This window comes from Homo sapiens, chromosome 10, assembly GCF_000001405.40.
Source record: "Homo sapiens chromosome 10, GRCh38.p14 Primary Assembly".
NCBI lineage: Eukaryota > Metazoa > Chordata > Mammalia > Primates > Hominidae > Homo > Homo sapiens.
In genome coordinates, this window is record NC_000010.11 from 115,092,561 (window position 1) to 115,110,059 (window position 17,499).

The following is a 17,499-nucleotide window of genomic DNA, read 5'->3' on the forward strand; positions in this document are numbered from 1 at the left end:
AGTTCTTTGTTGGGGGCGCGGGCTTCGTTATTCCCGAGGCAGCAATGGCTCCCCCTCGGAGGTCCCTCCGCGGAGACCGCCTCGCGCCTCTCGCAGTCCCCAATCCCCGCCCCTCCCAGCCCTCGCTGACCCCACAACGTGGTCGGACTGCGGTGCCTTTAAGGCTTTTGCCTGCTGCACATGCTCAGCTCTTTGTGTGTTGTTGGAGTTTTTCTCTCTTAAGAGAAAAAGAAGAAATAGGCAGGAGGATGGGGCGGAGGAAGGGGGAAGCGCTAGGGAAAAAGCGTTGCACTTTTGCAGCTGCAGACGGCGGACGGGAAGGACTTCTTTTCTGCTGAAGCTGCGAAGCCTGTGTCGATCTCTCATTCGTGGGGCTCCCGGGGCGCGGGGTGCGGGTGGGGCCGGGGTGCCCGCACCGGCCGGGGGGAAGGGCACGCGGGCCACACCTGGGGGGCCTGTCTCCAGTCAGCGCGCGGGCCAGGCGGGGTGGGCGCGCGCGCGTGGGGGAGTCCCCGGTCCCTGTCAGGGGCGGGGCGAGACCAAGGCGCCGGGCCTGTGGGGAGGAGTGTAGGCGCGCGCGAGGGCGGGGGGCGGCCCCACGCATCGTGGGCTCCCGGCGCTGCCGCTGCGGCCGGCTCGAGGCACCGGAGACAGAATGGCTGCCGGGGCGCCCTTGACCGCCGGGCGGGCGAGGCGGGGCTGACCGCCGCCTCCTTGATCGCCCCCTTCCACGTTGGGCGCGCCCACTTCGGGGCGCCCGCTCGGCCCCCGCCCTCCTGGGCGCGCGGCGCTCGGAGCCGAGGCAGTTGGCGCGGGCCGCGGGCGAGGCGGGGCCGCGCGCGGGGTCCCCTCCTCCTGCCGGTCAGGTCCCCTCAGGAGCGCCGGGCGCAGTCTGCGCCTCCCGCTCCCCGCCTCCGGCCGGGTCCGGGACGCCGCGGCTGTGGGGTCGGCCCGCTAAGGACAAGGTCGGGAGACTGGGTGGCGATGCCCGAGTGCGACTGGAGGCAGCCGAGCGGAGGCGACGGCGGTTGGGATCTGTCCCTCCTGACCGGGGAGCGGGACTCGGACGGGCGCCGGTGAGGAGGAGGAGAAGCGGCGGCGGAGAGGTTTTCTGCGGCCGGAATTCCCTTCAACAGCATCCCTGTCGGCGCCCGCGAGCGCAGTCTCGCCGGGCAGGGGCGCCGGGGAAGATGGAGACTGGGGGCCGGGCCCGCACTGGTACCCCGCAGCCAGCGGCCCCGGGGGTGTGGAGGGCTCGGCCGGCGGGCGGCGGCGGCGGGGGCGCCTCCTCCTGGCTGCTGGACGGGAACAGCTGGCTGCTGTGCTATGGCTTCCTCTACCTGGCGCTCTACGCGCAGGTGTCCCAGTCCAAGCCGTGCGAGAGGACCGGCTCCTGCTTCTCGGGCCGCTGTGTCAACTCCACCTGCCTCTGCGACCCGGGCTGGGTGGGGGACCAGTGCCAGCACTGCCAGGGCAGGTTCAAGTAAGTGCCTTCGCCGGACCCCGAACCTCCAGCCCTGCCTCGCTCCCGTCGCGGCCTTCCCCGCCCCCCTCGCGGCCTCCCCCGCCCCCGTCGCTGCCTCTGATCCCCCGGCCGTGAGTGAACCTCAGCGCGCGGCGGGAGCGGGCGAGAGTGGGGCCCGCGCCGCGCCCCCTCCAGCCCCGGGGCGCCCCGGGAGAGCTCGGGCCCGCGCGGAGCCCTGACCAACGGGGAGCTAGGCATTTCTCGAGCGTTCCAGATGTCCGCAGCGACTTCTGATCCGCTGCTCAGCACGAACATTTTCACAATCAGTTATGATGCCCAGCACCATTTTCTTGGGATAATATTTAAAAATCAGAAATTGTCCAAGTTACTTATGAAATACATGCGCATTGTGAAAAATTCACAAAAGTGTAAAGGTTCAGTTATGATCTATGAGTGCCTCTCTCTTTCCCCATTCTCTTCTCTCTAGAGGTGACCCCTTCTAACATTTATTTAGTCATCATAGTGATGTTAATAAGTAGAGTTTATGATGGACTTGCTAAGTGCCAAACACTCTTCTAAGCGCTTTATGTCAATTTTCTCATTTATTCCCTACAACAACTCTGTGAGTTGCTAGAATTATTATGCTGGATTTACGGAGAGAAATCGAGGCGATACATTGAAGTAACTTGGCCAGGATTACACAGTAGTAAGGGCCGAGTTATGATTCCAAATCAGCTGGCACATTCTGGAGCCAGTACACACTCCAGAATGTGTACTTTTAACGAATTTGCTGTGTTGTATTTGCTAGGACAATCTTGAATTGAGAAATACAAAGGTGACTTTAGGTTAGATAGAAGGACGTTTTTATGTGGTGAGGATAATGGATTTTTTTCTGATCGGTTAATTCACTGTCAGCTTTTGTGCGGGAACATCGCTTTGGCTTGTTTGAAGCTCAAGGAGCCTAAGAAGTTTGCTTGCTAAGGTGAAGGTACTTTCTTCGTACTGGTTGGTGTTTATTACATTCTTGCCTGATATAAAAAGCAATGGGTCACAGTGTAGGGGAGTAGCAAAAGTCACTTAATATTGGGGCAGGCTTCTAACAACATGCAGGTAACAGTCATTAAGAAAGTCAGCTTCTTAGTCTTCTAGATACTTAATATGAAGTTTGCTGGCTGGTTTGTGGCTCTTGAATATTGTAGATTACTGATATTGTTAGGCTGATAGCCAAAATCTAGGTGAAATTTCTCTTGGGCTCTAAGGCAAAGGTAAGACTGGTTCACCTTATTAATGTATTCTAGGACAATTTCCTGGAATTTTAAACACAGCATACTTTCCTTTTTTTTTTTTTTTAAAAAAAAACTTACTATTACTGATTAAAATAAATGTCCCTTAAAACTCAATGTAAAAATGTATATTTTTAAAATGGCACTTTAAAATTTTAGGTAGAGTCTATGATTTAAATTAACTAGTAGGTTTTGGAAGTGAAATCTTAAAGTGAAGTTTTATGAAACTTATGCAATAGGTTGAAATTTTTCTAGGGTTTATACTTTAAAGGTAGTATAGTAATGTAGTTTTAAAAATACTTTTTAAAAAAATTAGGAGAGATGCTGATTAAAAGTTTAAAAAGTGTTTCAAGATGAGGAAAGAGATCTTAATGAATTCTGCTTGTTAGTTGTTTTTTTTTGCTTGTGTTCTTAAACGTTTGCTATGACAGTAGAATTCAGCGTCTTTACCTAGCAAGAGAGAATTTTGAACATGTAAACTGGTAGTCAGCAGTGAAAAAGCCTCATCCATTTTTTACATTTTTTTTACATAAATAGGGAGAGTGCCTGATTTATATGTAGGGATATTGGCTTTTGTGTGGGTGGGTTTGCTCCGTTTGTCTAAAGAGGACAAAATTTGCTGCAGTCCTGAGAAGCTTCATTTTAAAGTAGCGGAACTTGTTAATCAGCTGGATCAGCAGCCTGTGACCTCACTAGCAGATGTTGTCCCAGTTAAAAAGATCACAGATCAAGTTAAAACTAGCTTAAATAACATTGAGAGGTGGTGTTCATAAACAAAATACATTAGTGAGTAGAAGAAGAATAGATATTTGATGTAGATATTGTTAAATAACAATAAATCCTGAGCTAATCACTGAGTATTCATCTTTTCCTTGGAAGCTATTATTTCCTAGGACTCATTGTACTCTATTGGGTAAATGCTTTTGCATTTCTCTGTGGAATACAAGCTATTAATTAGAGTAAATATAACTGGTGTAACGATCTGTGTTTTTATTATGTATACTCTTGGGGATAAAGAACACATTGGTATTTAATGTTAAAGAGAAGGATTATGTATAGTAGAAAAGAATTCTTCTTGGTAAAGTACATGCAAATAAACCTATGAAAGGTTTATTTGAAGATAGTAGCTTGTTTTACCTGGCATTTGAAGTAATAACACAGTGGGAAAGGCTTTAACTAGAAAATCTCACTTCACTAACTATCTTGAAAATCTTTTTCTAAACTGAAGGATAGCAACCTTACAAACAGACATTAAAAATGATTGATCAATCTTGGTAAGCAGGTGTCAAAATTAATTGGTTGGCTCCATGGTAACTTAGCTTTTTTTCTACTATAGGGATTTCGCCAGGGAATAAAAATGTTCTTCAAATGTTTCTTGAGGATAGAAGATTGATAGTTGGGGGAAGAAATGCAGAAGCAAATATAGTATCAAAAGTGGTACTTCAGTTCTCTTAGCATTGATTCCAGTCTTCTGTTTCCATTTGAAAAGAATAAAGCACTCAGAATAACAAGCCATTCCTTCCTTACACAGGTAAAACAAAAGGAACATTGATTTTTCACCCAAAGCTAGACTAAAGGACTTGGGATTGAGAATAGGAAAATATATTTGAAATATAATAATCAAAGATACAGACTCTAATTCAAGTTGTATTTATTTGAATAGTTCAGTGTAATGTTAAGCAAGAAAATATTCTGCTATAATCTATTTGAATGACGTTCTCTTTTAGAAGGGAGCCCTTGAGAATTAATTTTGTAGAGTAGAGATTTATATAAATTTATATAAATATAAAGAGTATTGCTCTTTATATTAGTCAAATATAAAGGGGTATATTTTTACCCCTCTTAGGTTAGTCAAATTTGGATACTTCATTTCACGCATTTAAAATGGAAGTATGCTGGGTGCCGTGGCTCAGGCCTGTAATCCCAGCACTTTGGGAGGCCGAGGTGGAAGGATCCCTTGAGCCCAGAAGTTTGAGACCAGTCTGGGCAAGATAGTGAGACCTCATCTCTACAAAAAATATTTTAAAAGTAGCTGGGCATGGTGGCACACACCTGTGGTCACAGCTACAAGAGAGAGTGAGGCGGAAGAATTCCTTGAGCTCAGGAGGTTGAGGCTGCAGTGAGCTGTAATCACGCCACTGCGCTCCAGCTTGGGTATCAGAGCGAGACTCTTCTTAAAAATTTATATATACATATATGAAGCATTCTATTTGTAGTGACAGCAAAATGAAGATGTAATGATATAATGTCAGGAATTAGGTTGTTATTATAGACAAAAACGGGCAGAATAAAGTGTGTAAACTCTTCCCCTAAGCTGTTAAAAATATATGCATATTGCCTGGCTTGGTGTCTCACGCCTGTAATCCCAACTCTTTGGGAGACCGAGGCGGGCGGATCATGAGGTCAGGAGATCGAGACCATCCTAGCTAACACAGTGAAACCCCGTCTCTACTAAAAATACAAAAATTAGCTGGGTGTGATGGCACGCACCTGTAGTCCCAGTTACTCAGGAGGCTGAGGCAGGAGAATCGCTTGAACCCAGGAGGCGGAGGTTGCAGTGAGCATAGGTCGCGCAACTGCACTCCAGCCTGGGCAACAGAGCGAGACTCCGTCTCAAAACAAAACAAAAATAAACAACAACAACAAAAAACAAATATATATATATGCATATGTAAATACATATATATTTGGAATCCTTTTTACTTGTAAGGAAACTGACAGTAATTATAAACTTAAACTGAATGTTCCCTGTCCCTAAGACTTCTTTATTTCAAAGTTTTATTTTAATGGATAATTTATATCCATGGATTATTTTTACATTATTAAAGTGTATAATCACACAGTAGGAATTTAAAATAATTTAAATTGAGTGTTTCTTAGATTCTAAATTGATAAGGTAAGTTACTTGTAGAAGCATAGTAGCATGGTTTTCAAGAACACGTGTCTGCATGATTTGGCCCCTTTAGCTGATTAGACTCAGGCCTCCTTTCCTCTGCCCTGACTGGCCTTTTGAAGTTCCTTGAAAGTGTCACATTCCTTTTGGCCTTAGTGCATTTTATACACGTAACTGTGAACTCTTTCCTCTCTGGTCTTTGCTTGGGTGATTACTGATCATCCTTCTAATCTTAGCTTAAATACTAGTTTCTTTTTTTTTTTTTTTTTTTTTTTTTTGAGACCGAGTCTGGCTCTGTCACCCAGGCTGGAGTGCAGTGGCGCAATCTCGGCTCACTGCAAGCTCCGCTTCCTGGGTTCACGCCATTCTCCTGCTTCAGCCTCCCGAGTAGCTGGGACTACAGGCGCCCGCCACTACGCCCGGCTAATTTTTTGTTTAGTAGAGACGGGGTATCACCGTGTTAGCCAGGATGGTCTCGATCTCCTGACCTCGTGATCCACCCGCCTCGGCCTCCTAAAGTGCTGGGATTACAGGCGTGAGCCACTGCGCCTGGCCACTTAAATACTAGTTTCTAAAGGAGGCTTGTCTGACTCTTCACACTAGGTTACCCCTTATATACTGCCCTAATAGCACTATTTTTCCTTCTTAGTATTGTCAAAAATGAGGTGTTTAATTATAATTTTGATAGTTATTTAAACAAAATTTTTAAGAGATTGAGGTATAATTGTCAAACAGCACAATTTAAAATGTACAATTTATTTAAATTATACAATTTGATAAGTTTTGTCATATGTATTTGCATCTGAAACTGTCACCACAATCAAAATCATAAAAATACCAATCACGCTAGAAAGTTTCCATGTGTTTCCTTTGTAAACCCTCCCTTTTCTAGTTGCCAATTCCTGTCCCAGGGCAACTATTGATCTGCTTTCTCTCACTATAGATTTGTTGGTATTTTCTAGAACTTTTTGTAAATAGAATCATACATTATATACTTCTTTTTTGTCTGGCTTCTTTCACACAGCGTGTTTATTTTGAGATTCATTCATGGTGTGTTAGTAGTTTATTCTACTGCCGAATAGTGTTCCAGTGTCTGGATACACCATAATTTGTTTATCCATTCAACTGCTGATGGACATTTGGATTGTTTCAAATTTTTGGCTGTTCCTTATAAAGCTGCTACGAAGTTTCATGTGGAAGCCTTTTTATCTTTGTATGGTCATATGCTTTCCTTTCTCTTGGGGAAATAACCTGAGAATGGCTGGATCATATGGGTAGATATATGTGTAACTGTTAAAGAAACCGACAAACTGTTTTCCAAAGTAGTTGTATCATTTATGTTCCCACCAGCAGTGAGTCAGTGTTCTATCTAGTTAATTTCACATCCATACCAATACTTGGTATGGTTAGTCTTTTAAATTTTTGTGATTCTAATAAGTGAATGGTATATTATTGGGTTTTAGTTTGCATTTCCCGAATTACTAATGATATTGAGTATCTTCTCATGTGCTTACTTGCCATCCGTATATCTTCTGTAATAGGCATTTATTCAAACCTTTTGCATGTTAAAAAAATTTTCTTACTGATTTTTGTGAGTTCTTTACATTTTCTGGATTACTAGCTTCTTATGAGGTATATCATTTGCATATATTTTCTACCAGTCTGCGGCTTGTCTATGAAAACAATGCAAAGAGAATGAAATCTCTTGACAGTATTTTTCAAAGAATCTAAGTTTTAAATTGATTAATTCCAGTTTATCATTTTTTTCTTTTATACTTTTCATGTTGTGCCTAAGAAAAGTTTGCCTAGGCTGGGTACTGTGGCTCATGTGTGTAATCCCAGCGCTTTGGGAGCCTGAGACAGGAGGATCACTTGAGTCTAGGAATTTGAGTGCAGCCTGGGAAACAAGGCAAGACACTGCCTATACAAAAACATTTGAAAAATTAGCTGGTCGTGGCGGTGTGCGCATTTAGCCCATCTACTTGGAAGGCTGAGATGGGAGGATCACTTTAACACAGGAATTGGAGGCTGCAGTGAGCTGAGCTGTGATTGTGTCACTGTACTCCATCCTGGGCAACACAGCAAGACCATGTCTTTAAAAAATAAAAAATAAAAAAAAAAAGAAAACTGCCTAAACCAAGTTGATGAAGATTTTCTTCATTTTTTTTCTCTAGAAGTTTTGTAATTTTAGATTTTACATTTATATTTATGGTCCATTTTAAGTTAATTTCTATATATGGGGAGAGGTATGGATCTAAATTCAGTTTTTTGGCATATAGGTATTTGTTTTAGCACTATTTGTTGAGAAGAGTATTCTTTCTCTGTTAAAGTAGCTTTGCACCTTTGTTGAAACCATTCATATATTTGTGTTTCTATTTCTGGACTCTGCTTTGTTTCTTGATCTCTTTGTCTATTTGTATGTCAGTACAACAATGTCTTGATTATTGTTTCTTTGTAAGTCTTGAATTCTGGGAGTGTTTTTCAGTTTTGTTCTTTTCCAATTATTTTGGCTACTCTGAGTCCTTTGTATTTCCATATGAATTTTAGAATCAGCTTGTCAGTTTCTATAAAAAGCCTACTAGGATTTTGTTTGTAATTATGTTGAGTCTATAGATCAATTTTGGGGAAAATGAATACCTTGTCAGTTTTGAGTTTCCTACATGGTATATCTGTTTATTTATTTAGTTGTTTAATCTGTCAGCAGTGTTTTTAAATTTCTAGTCAATAGATCTTGCACCTCTTTTGTCAGATTTTTCCCTAAGTAGTTAATATTTTTGGATGCTATTGTAAATGGCATTTTTTAAACTTTCACTTTTGATTGTTGCTATTATACTGAAACACAACTGATTTGTGTATGTTTGATTTTTTATCTTGCAATCTTGCCAAACTTACTTATTACTTGTGGTAGATTTTTGCAGATTCCTTATGGCTTTCTACTTAGATGATTATATTGTTTACAGACAAAGATATATTTACTTCTTTCTTTACAATCTAGATGCCTTTTTTTTTCTTGCCTTATTTCACTGGCCAGAACCTCTATTACAGTAATGAATAGAGGTGATGAGAGTGGTCAATCTTACTTAAGATTTAGGGGGAGATATTTGATCTTTAACCATGAAGTATGATGTTATCTGTAAGTTTTTTTTTTAGATGCCTTTTATCACACTGAGAAAGTTCCCTTCTATTCCTAGTTTGCCAAGAGTTTTTACCAGTGATGGAAACTGGATTGTATTAAATGCATTTTCTGTGCCCATTGAGATAATCATATGATTTTTTCAAGTTTGTTAACATGGTGAATTATGTACATAATTTTTGAATGTTAAACCAACCTTACATTCCTAAGATAAACTTCCTCTGACACAATATGCTTTCCTTTTTATTTTAGGTTGGATTTGGTTTGTTAAAGTTTTATTTAGAATTTTTGTATCTGTGTTCATGAGAGATATTAGTCTGCACTTTTCTTATAATATATGACTAGTTTTGGTGACAAGATAATGCTGGCCTCATATAATGAGCACCATGGGACTCTCCTGATCATTTGCTGAAAGAGTTTTTAGGGAATTGGCATTATTTCTTCATTAGTGTTTGGTGGAATTCACCATCGACACCCTCTAGGCCTGAAGTTTTCTTTAACTCCAAATTCAACTTTTATTAATATACATTCAACTTATTTAATATACAGAAGGCTATATGACTAGAATCCTTTAAAATTTATTGGCCAGAATATTGTCTATCTTGGTTAAGTATTTTTTTGGGCGTGTGAAAATAATGTGTATTCTTCTATTGATGGGTGGAGTGTTGTATACATTTCAGTTAGGTCAACTTGGTTGATAGTCTTGTTCAAGTCTTCTACAACCATTCTGATTTTCTGTCTGTTTTTACCACTTATTGAGAGAAGGGTATCTTCAGTTATAATTTTGTATTTACCTGTTTGTCCCTGCAGTCTTATCTGTTTATCCTTCATGTATTTTGAAACTATGTTATTAGGTGCATAAAATTTTGGATTATGTCCTCCTGATAAACTGAGCCTTTATCGTTATCCAATGACCATTTGTTGAAAAGACTATCCTTTTTTCATTAATGTCTTTGTACCTTTATTGAAAGTTAATTGGACGTCTTTATGTATATTTATTTTTTGACTCTTTTCTGTTCCATTGATCCATATCTCTATCCTTTTGCAAATTCCTCACTTTATTAATGTATGTATGTACTTTATTAATGTATGTATATGTGTATATATATATACACATACATATATTTGAGATGGAGTCTCACTCTGTTGCCCAGGCTGGAGTGCAGTGGCATGGTATCAGCTCACTGAAATCTCTGCTCGTCAGGTTCAAGCGGTTCTCCTGCCTCAGCCTCTTGAGCAGCTGGGATTACAAGCATGTGCCACCTCACCTGGCTAATTTTTGTATTTTTGGTAGAGATGAGGTTTTGCCATGTTGGCCAGGCTGGTGGTCTCTAACTCCTGACCTCAGGTGATCCACCCACCTCGGCCTCCCAAAATGCTAAGATTAGTATATTTTTACAGTAAATCTTGAAGTTAGATAATGAGATTCCCCCAACTTTATTTTTATTTTTGAAAATTTACTTGGTTCATTTTGTTTTTCATATACATTTTAGAACTGTTTGTCAATTAAAAAAGTCTTGCTGGGATTTTTATTGAGATTGTGTTGACTTAGTAAATCATTTTGAGGAGAATTGATATGTAAATAATATTGAATTATCTCGTTCTTCATTGCAGTATGTTTTTTTCATCTATTTGGGTTTTCATTGATTTTTTACAACAGTTTTTTGTAGTTATCAGATACAGATTCTGTGTATATATTTTTAGTGTTTTTTTTTTTTTTTGAGATGGAGTCATGCTCTGTCACTCAGGCTGGAGTGCAATGGCATGATCTCGGCTCAATGCAACCCCTGCTTCCTGGGTTCACGCGATTCTCGTGCCTCAGCCTCCTGAGTAGCTGGGATTACGGGCGCCCATCATCACGCCTGGCTGATTTTTTGTATTTTTTGTAGAGATGGGGTTTCGCCATGTTGGCTAGGCTGGTCTCGAACTTCTGACCTCAGGCAATCCGCCTGCCTCAGCCTCCCAAAGTGCTGGGATTACAGATGTGAGCCACTGCGCCTGGTCATATTTTTTGATTTTATACCAAAATATTTTATGTTCTTTAAGGCTATTGTAGTTGGTAGTATTTCTTTTAATTTCAATTTCCAGTTTGTAGACTTTAAAAAAATAATCAGGGAAATCTTTCTTTGGTGATATTTCCTCGCCCATATCTCTTTATTTTTTATTTTTGTGGTTACGTTATAGGTGTATATATTTATGGGATAAATGAGATATTTTGATACAGGTATACAATGCCTAATAACCACATCAGGGTAAATAGGGTATTCATTACCTCAAGCATTTATCCTTTCTTTGTGTTATAAACAATTCATACTAATTATACTTTCTACCCATTAACCATCCCCATTTCCCCCACTCCAATACCTTTCCCAGCCTCAGGTAACCATCATTCTACTCTGTCTCCATGAATTCAACTATTTTAATTTTTAGCTCCCAGAAATAACTGAGAAAATGCAATGTTTGTCTTTCTGTGCCTGGCTTATTTCATGTAATGTAATGACGTCCAGTTCCATCCATGTTGTTGTGAATGACAGGATATCATTCTTTTTTATGGCTGAATAGTACTCCCTTGTGTATATGTACCACAGTTTATTTATCCATTCATTTCTTGATGGACATTTTGGTTGCTTCCAAATTTTGGCTGTTGTGAATAGAGCTGCAGAAAACATTGAAGTACAGCTGTCTCTTCAATATACTGATTTCCTTTCTTTTAGGTAAATACCTAGCAGTGGGATTGCTGAATCATATGGTAGCTCTATTTTTAATTTTTTGAGGAACCTGCAAACTGTTCTGCATAGTAGTTACACTAATTTACCTTCCCACCAACAATGTAAGAGGGTTCCCTTTTCTCTATATCCTTGCCAGCATTTGTTTCTGTCTGCCTTTTGGATATGAGCTATTTAACTGGAGTGAGATAATATCACATTGTAGTTTTGATTTTCATTTCTCTGATGATCAGTGATGTTGAGCATCTTTTTATTTACCTTTTGACATTGGTATGTCTTCTTTTGAGAAATGTCTATTCAGATCTTTTGCATATTTTTGAATTGGATTATTAGATTTTTTTTCTTACAGCATTGTTTGAGCTTATTATATAATCTGGTTATTAATCCCTTGTCAGAATGATAGTTTGCAAATATTTTCTTCCATTCTGTGGATCGTCTCTTCATGTTGTTGATTGTTTCCTTTGCTGTGCAGAAACTTTTTAACTCGATATGATCCCATTTATCCATTTTTGCTTTGGTTGCCTGTACTTGTGGGGTATTACTCAAGAAATCTTTGCCTAGTCTCCAGGTGTCCTGGAGAGTTTTCCCAATGTTGTAGTAGTTTCATAGTTTGAGGTCTTAGATTTCTAAGTCTTTAATCCATTTTCATTTGATTGTTGTATATGGTGAGAGATAGGGGTCCAGCTTCATTATTCTTCATATGGATATCCAGTATTCCCAGCACAATTTATTGAGGAGACTGTTACTTCCCCAGTGTATGTGCTTGACACCTTTGTCAAAAATGAGTTCACTGTAAGTATGGATTTATTCTGGGTTCCCTATTCTGTAATTGCTCTATGTGTCCTTTTTTTTTCTCTTTTTTTAATGCCAGTACCATGCTGCTTTGGTTACTATAGCTCTGTGGTATAATTTAAAGTCAGGTAATATGATGCTTCCAGTATTGCTCTTTTTGCTTAGAATGGCTTTGGCTATTCTGGGTCTTTTTGGCTCTGCATATATTTTATGATTTTTTTTCTATTTTTGTGAAAAATGTCATTGGCATTTTGATAGGGATTGCCTTGAATCTGTAGATTGGTTTGGATAGTATGGACATTTTAACAATATTGATTCTTCCAATCCATGAGCATGAAATATCTTTCCATTTTTTTTGGTGTCTTCTTCAATTTCTTTCATTTTTCCCCTGCCTAGAGGTTTGTGGAACTTTGAACTTCAGCGAGATGATTTAAGGTATCTGGCAGAAGAAATTTCTAAGCAGCAAAGCATTCAAGATGTGACTTGGGTGCTGTTAAAGGCATTCCATTCTCAAAGGGAAACAGAGCATAAAAATTTGGGAAATGTACAGCCTGACAATGATAGAAAAGAAAATCCCATTTTCTGAGGAGAAATTTAAGCCAGCTGCAGAAATTTGCATGAGTAACGAGAAGCCAAATGTTAATTTCCAAGACAATGGGGAAAATGTCCCCAGGCCACGTCAGAGATCTTCGGGGCAGCCCCTCTCATCACAGGCCTGGAGGCATAGGAGGAAAAAATGGTTTTGTGGGCCAGGCCCAGGGTTCCTGTGCTGTATGCAGCCTAGGGACTTGGTGTCCCTTGTCCCAGCTGCTCTAGCTATGACTAAAAGGGGCCAAGGTGCAGCTCAGGCTGTGGCTTCAGAGGGTGCAAGCTCCAAGCCTTGGCAGCTTCCATGTGGTGTTGAGCCTGCGGGTGCACAGGAGTCAAGAATCGAGGTTTGGGAACCTCTGTCTGCATTTCAGAAGATTTATGGAAACGCCTGGATGTCCAGGCAGAAGTTTGCTGCAGGGGTGGGACTCTCATGGAGAACCTTTGTATGTCAGTGTGGAAGGGAAAAGTGGGGTTGGAGCCCCCACACAGAGTCCCTACTGGAACATTGCCTAGTGGAGCTGTGAGAAGAGGGCCACTGTCCTGCAGACCCCAGAACAGTAGATGCTCCTACACCTTGCACCATGTGCCTGGAAAAGCCGCAGATGTTCAACGACAGCCCATGAAAGCAGCCAGGATGAGGCTGTACTCTGCAAAGCCACAGGGTCGGAGCTGCCCAAGACCATGGGAACCCACCTCTTGCATCAGCATGACCTAGATGAGAGACCTGGAGTCAAAGGAGATCATTTTGGAGCTTTAAAATTTGACTACCCTGTTGGATTTCGGACTTGCATAGGCCCTGTAACCCCTTTGTTTTGGCCAATTTCTCCCATTTGGAATGGCTGTATTTATCCAATACCTATACCCCCATTGTATCTAGGAAGTAACTAGCTTGCTTTTGATTTTACAGGCTCATAAATGGAAAAAACTTGCCTTGTCTCAGATGAGACCTTGGGGGTGCTGAAATGAGTTAAGACTTTGGGGGACTGTTGGGAAAGCATCATTTGTTTTGAAATGTGAGGACATGAGATTTGGAGGGGCCAGGGGCAGAATGATATGGTTTGGCTGTGTTCCCATTCAAGCCTCAGTTTGAATTGTATCTCCTAGAATTTTTTGATGTGTTATGTAAAGGAATTACCCAGCGGGAGGTAATTGAATCATGGGGGCCAGTCTTTCCCGTGCTATTCTCGTGATAGTGAGTAAGTCTCAACAATATCTGCTGGGTTTATCAGGTGTTTCTGCTTTTGCTTCTTCCTCATTTTTCTCTTGCCACTGCCATGTAAGAAGTGCCTTTCACCTCCCACCATGATTCTGAGGCCTCCCCAGCCATGTGGAACTGTAAGTCTGGTTAAATCTCCTTTTCTTCCCAGTTTTGGGTGTGTCTTTATCAGCAGTGTGAAAATGGACTAATACACTTGGTAATTTATAATGAATAGAGATATATTGGCTCATGATTCTGGAGGCTGGGAAGTCTAAGATCAAGAGGCTGACATCTTGTAAGGGCTTTCTTGCTGCATCATCCTGTGGCAGAGGGTAAATAGAGGGTCAAGGGATAGGCAAAAGCATTCAAATCTCATCCTTTTATAAGGAACCCATTCCCCTGATAATGAACTCACTCCTGAGGTAACAGCGTTAATGCCCTCATGGTTTAATCACCTCCCATTATGCCCCACCTCTCAACACTAATCCAGAGCCTTCACTCAGTCCAGCACCAACTCAAAAGTCCAAAGTCTAGGGTCTCTTCTAAATCAGATGTAGGTGAGACTCAAGGCACAATTCATCCTGGGGCAAATTCCCTTCCAGCTGTGAGCCTGTGAAATCAAAACAAGTTGTTTACTTCCAAAGTGCAATGGTGAGACAGGTATAGGATCTACATTCCCGTTCCAAAAGAAAAAAAGGGGTAACAGGCCCCAAATAAGTCCAGAACCCAACAGAACAAACAATGTTAAATCTGAAAGCTAGAGAATAATCTTTTTTGACTTTATGTTTCGCCTTCTGAGCATACTTGGATGAGGATTGGGCTCCCAAGACCTCAGGCAGCCCAGCCCTTAGGCTTTGCTGGGCTGAGCCTACATAGCAGCTCTCATGGGTTGGAGGCTCATGCCTGCCGCTCTTATAGTCTGAGGCTGCACATGGGTGACTCTATAGTTCTGAGGTCTCAGAGGCAGCCCTGCTCCCATGGCCCTATTAGGCATTGCTCTAGCAAGTACTTTATGATGAGTCTGCTGCTGTAGCATCCTTTCAGATCTACATTGAGGTAGCCGCATCTCCACAACTTGTGCAGTCTGTGCACCTGCAGAATTGGCACCACATGGATGGATACCACCAAGGTTTATTTCCTATACTTTTCAGAGCTGCAGCCAGAGACACACCCTGGTTTGCTTGAACAGTGACTGGGGAGGCTAAGGGAAGCTGTGCCAGAATGCAGGGAGCAGATACTTGAGGCAGCACAGGGCAGTGAATGCTGAGGTCCCATAGATGCCTTTCTGGAAACTGTGATCTCAGGATCCTAGATGGGAGGGGCAGCCCAGGAGACCTCTGAAATGCCTTCAAGATCTCTTTCTATCTTGATGAATAGCACGTGACTTCCTTTTATCCATGCTAATCCCCTTATGCAAGGGTTCCTTGGCCACACCCTTGCATGCTTTGCTTTTTTGTTCTTTACATATACAAACTGTGACTTTTCCAAATCATTACTTTCTGCTTCCCTTTTCATAATATGTTTTGTTTTTAAATCATTCTACCTTCTCGCATCTTTACTATATGCAGTTAAAAGTAGCCACGCAGCTCTTTCAATATTTTGCTTAGAAATTTCTTCCACCAGATATCCTAGTGAAGTGGCTACATTGTCTGGGGTATATACCCTGGGGTTCATCATCATGCACCAGGAAAATTTAGGGCATGGACACACACAAGGGGTTTAGGAGTAGAGGTTTAATAGGTAGAAGATAAGAGAAAGAGAAACAGCCTCCTTTATAAAGGGAGGGGTCTCTGATCGGAAAGGACTGGCTGGTGGCAAATGTGCCGAGTTTTATAGTCCAGTTTGAGGAGGCAGTGTCTGATTTCTGTAGGGGTCACAGATTGGTTAGATCAGGTATGAAGTTTACATAGTGCATGGGGAAGGCTGGTTGCCCCACCATAATCTTCTTATGAAAATGGATTTCCCAGTTGATCAGCATCATCTTGTCTGCTCCTTACAATACACATGGCTGGCAGAGAAGAGAGGATGGAGCCACCATTTTGAAAATGTCTAGTCCTTAGTTCCTGTCAGCATTCACCCATGCAAGCTCTCAGCTTGCAGGCTGCTCCTTGTTAGAAAATGATTTGGGGCTGCTTTTCATTGAAAAGGAAAGCCTTACCAAGCACTCCCATGCCCTTGTTCTCTGACTAAGTAATTCCTTTCTAACTCCCATTATACTAGCTTATTGCTCTTAAATTCTGCCTTCCATGAAGCACTCAGATATGGGCACAATTCAGCCAAGTTATTTGCTGCTTCATGTCAAGGATGGCTATTACTCCAGTTTGCAGTATCTCTTTCCTCCTTTCTGTCTGAGATCTCCTCAGAGTTCCCTTTACTCTCCACATTTCTGCCAATATTCTGATCATAAGCACTAATGTAATCTCTACAAAGTTTTAGGCTTTCCCTGCAGTTCTCTTCTGAGCCCTCATCAGAATCATCCTTAATGTTCTTTTCATACCAATACAAGTTTTTTCTAGCCTTTTTTTTTCCCAAACTCTCCCAGCCTCTACTTATTGCTGAGTTTCAAAGTGGCTTCCCTATTTTCAGATATTTGATAAAGCAGTGTTCTATGCTTCAATACCAGTTTTTTGTGTTATTCAGTTTTGTGCTGCTATAACAGAATACTTGAGACCTAGTGATTTATAATGAATAAAAATTTATTGGCTTATGATTCTGTTGGGAAGGCCAAGATTGAGGGGCCAGAATTTGGCAAGAGCTTTCTTGTTGCATCATTGCATGACAGAAGAGCAAAGAGAGGGTGAAGAGAGAAAGAGAGGAGGGCAAAAGGGGGTGAAATCATCCTTTTATAAGGAACTCATTCCTGCAATAACAGCATTAATCCATTCATGAGGGCTATGCTCTCATGGCCTAATCATCTCTCATTAGGTTCCACATCCCCACACTGTTGTATCGGGGATTAAGTTTTCAACACTTTTTTGGAGGGACACATTCAAACCATAGCAGAGACTCTGCTTCATGTCAAGGATGGCTGTTATTCCAGTTTGCAATATCTCTTTCCTCCTTTCTGTCTGAGATCTCCTCAGAATTGCCTCACAATTAAATATTCTGTTTTAGGAGGCAATCAACTTGTTTTGGTTCAGCACACATGACCTAGCTCACTTTTCAAAAAACAGAGCTTTACTGAGTTACAATTTGCACCTCACCATATTCACCTTTTAAAGATGTACAGTTCACTTATGTTTAGCATATTTAGAGAGTGGTACAACCATCACCATTACCTAATTTTAGGCTGAAGAGCCAAATTGTATAAACAAATTGGTATCTGTGACTTGTTAAAAAATAATTTCTAGGGTATCTTATATAGTCAGTATAAAATCAAACTAATCTGTACTTTAGATGTATAAAAATGAATTTTTAT

At 41.4% G+C, this 17,499-nt stretch overlaps 1 protein-coding gene across 9 annotated transcripts in view, besides 3 other annotated features; it reads left to right on the top strand.

Moving 5' to 3' along the window:
- Nucleotides 336–845: a silencer, noted in NCBI's record as "silent region_2850". NCBI's record gives its function as "represses an Ori minimal core promoter by ATAC-STARR-seq in GM12878 lymphoblastoid cells {active_cell/tissue: GM12878}" and the evidence as "EXISTENCE:reporter gene assay evidence [ECO:0000049][PMID:35858748]".
- Nucleotides 805–17,499, top strand: part of ATRNL1 (attractin like 1) — an 855,635-nt gene continuing 838,940 nt past the window's right edge. For 7 of the 9 annotated variants that reach the window (NM_207303.4, XM_011539587.2, XM_017016035.3 and 4 more), the window contains exon 1: nt 805–1,483. In NM_207303.4, the coding sequence (NP_997186.1) occupies nt 1,191–1,483 (293 nt within the window). In that variant the 5' untranslated portion in view covers nt 805–1,190. Of the gene's footprint in view, nt 1,484–4,084; nt 4,280–17,499 lie in introns of all 9 variants that reach the window. The other 2 variants (NR_074088.3, XM_011539588.3) reach the window with 2 other exon arrangements.
- Nucleotides 876–1,005: a silencer, noted in NCBI's record as "silent region_2851". NCBI's record gives its function as "represses an Ori minimal core promoter by ATAC-STARR-seq in GM12878 lymphoblastoid cells {active_cell/tissue: GM12878}" and the evidence as "EXISTENCE:reporter gene assay evidence [ECO:0000049][PMID:35858748]".
- Nucleotides 1,096–1,375: a silencer, noted in NCBI's record as "silent region_2852". NCBI's record gives its function as "represses an Ori minimal core promoter by ATAC-STARR-seq in GM12878 lymphoblastoid cells {active_cell/tissue: GM12878}" and the evidence as "EXISTENCE:reporter gene assay evidence [ECO:0000049][PMID:35858748]".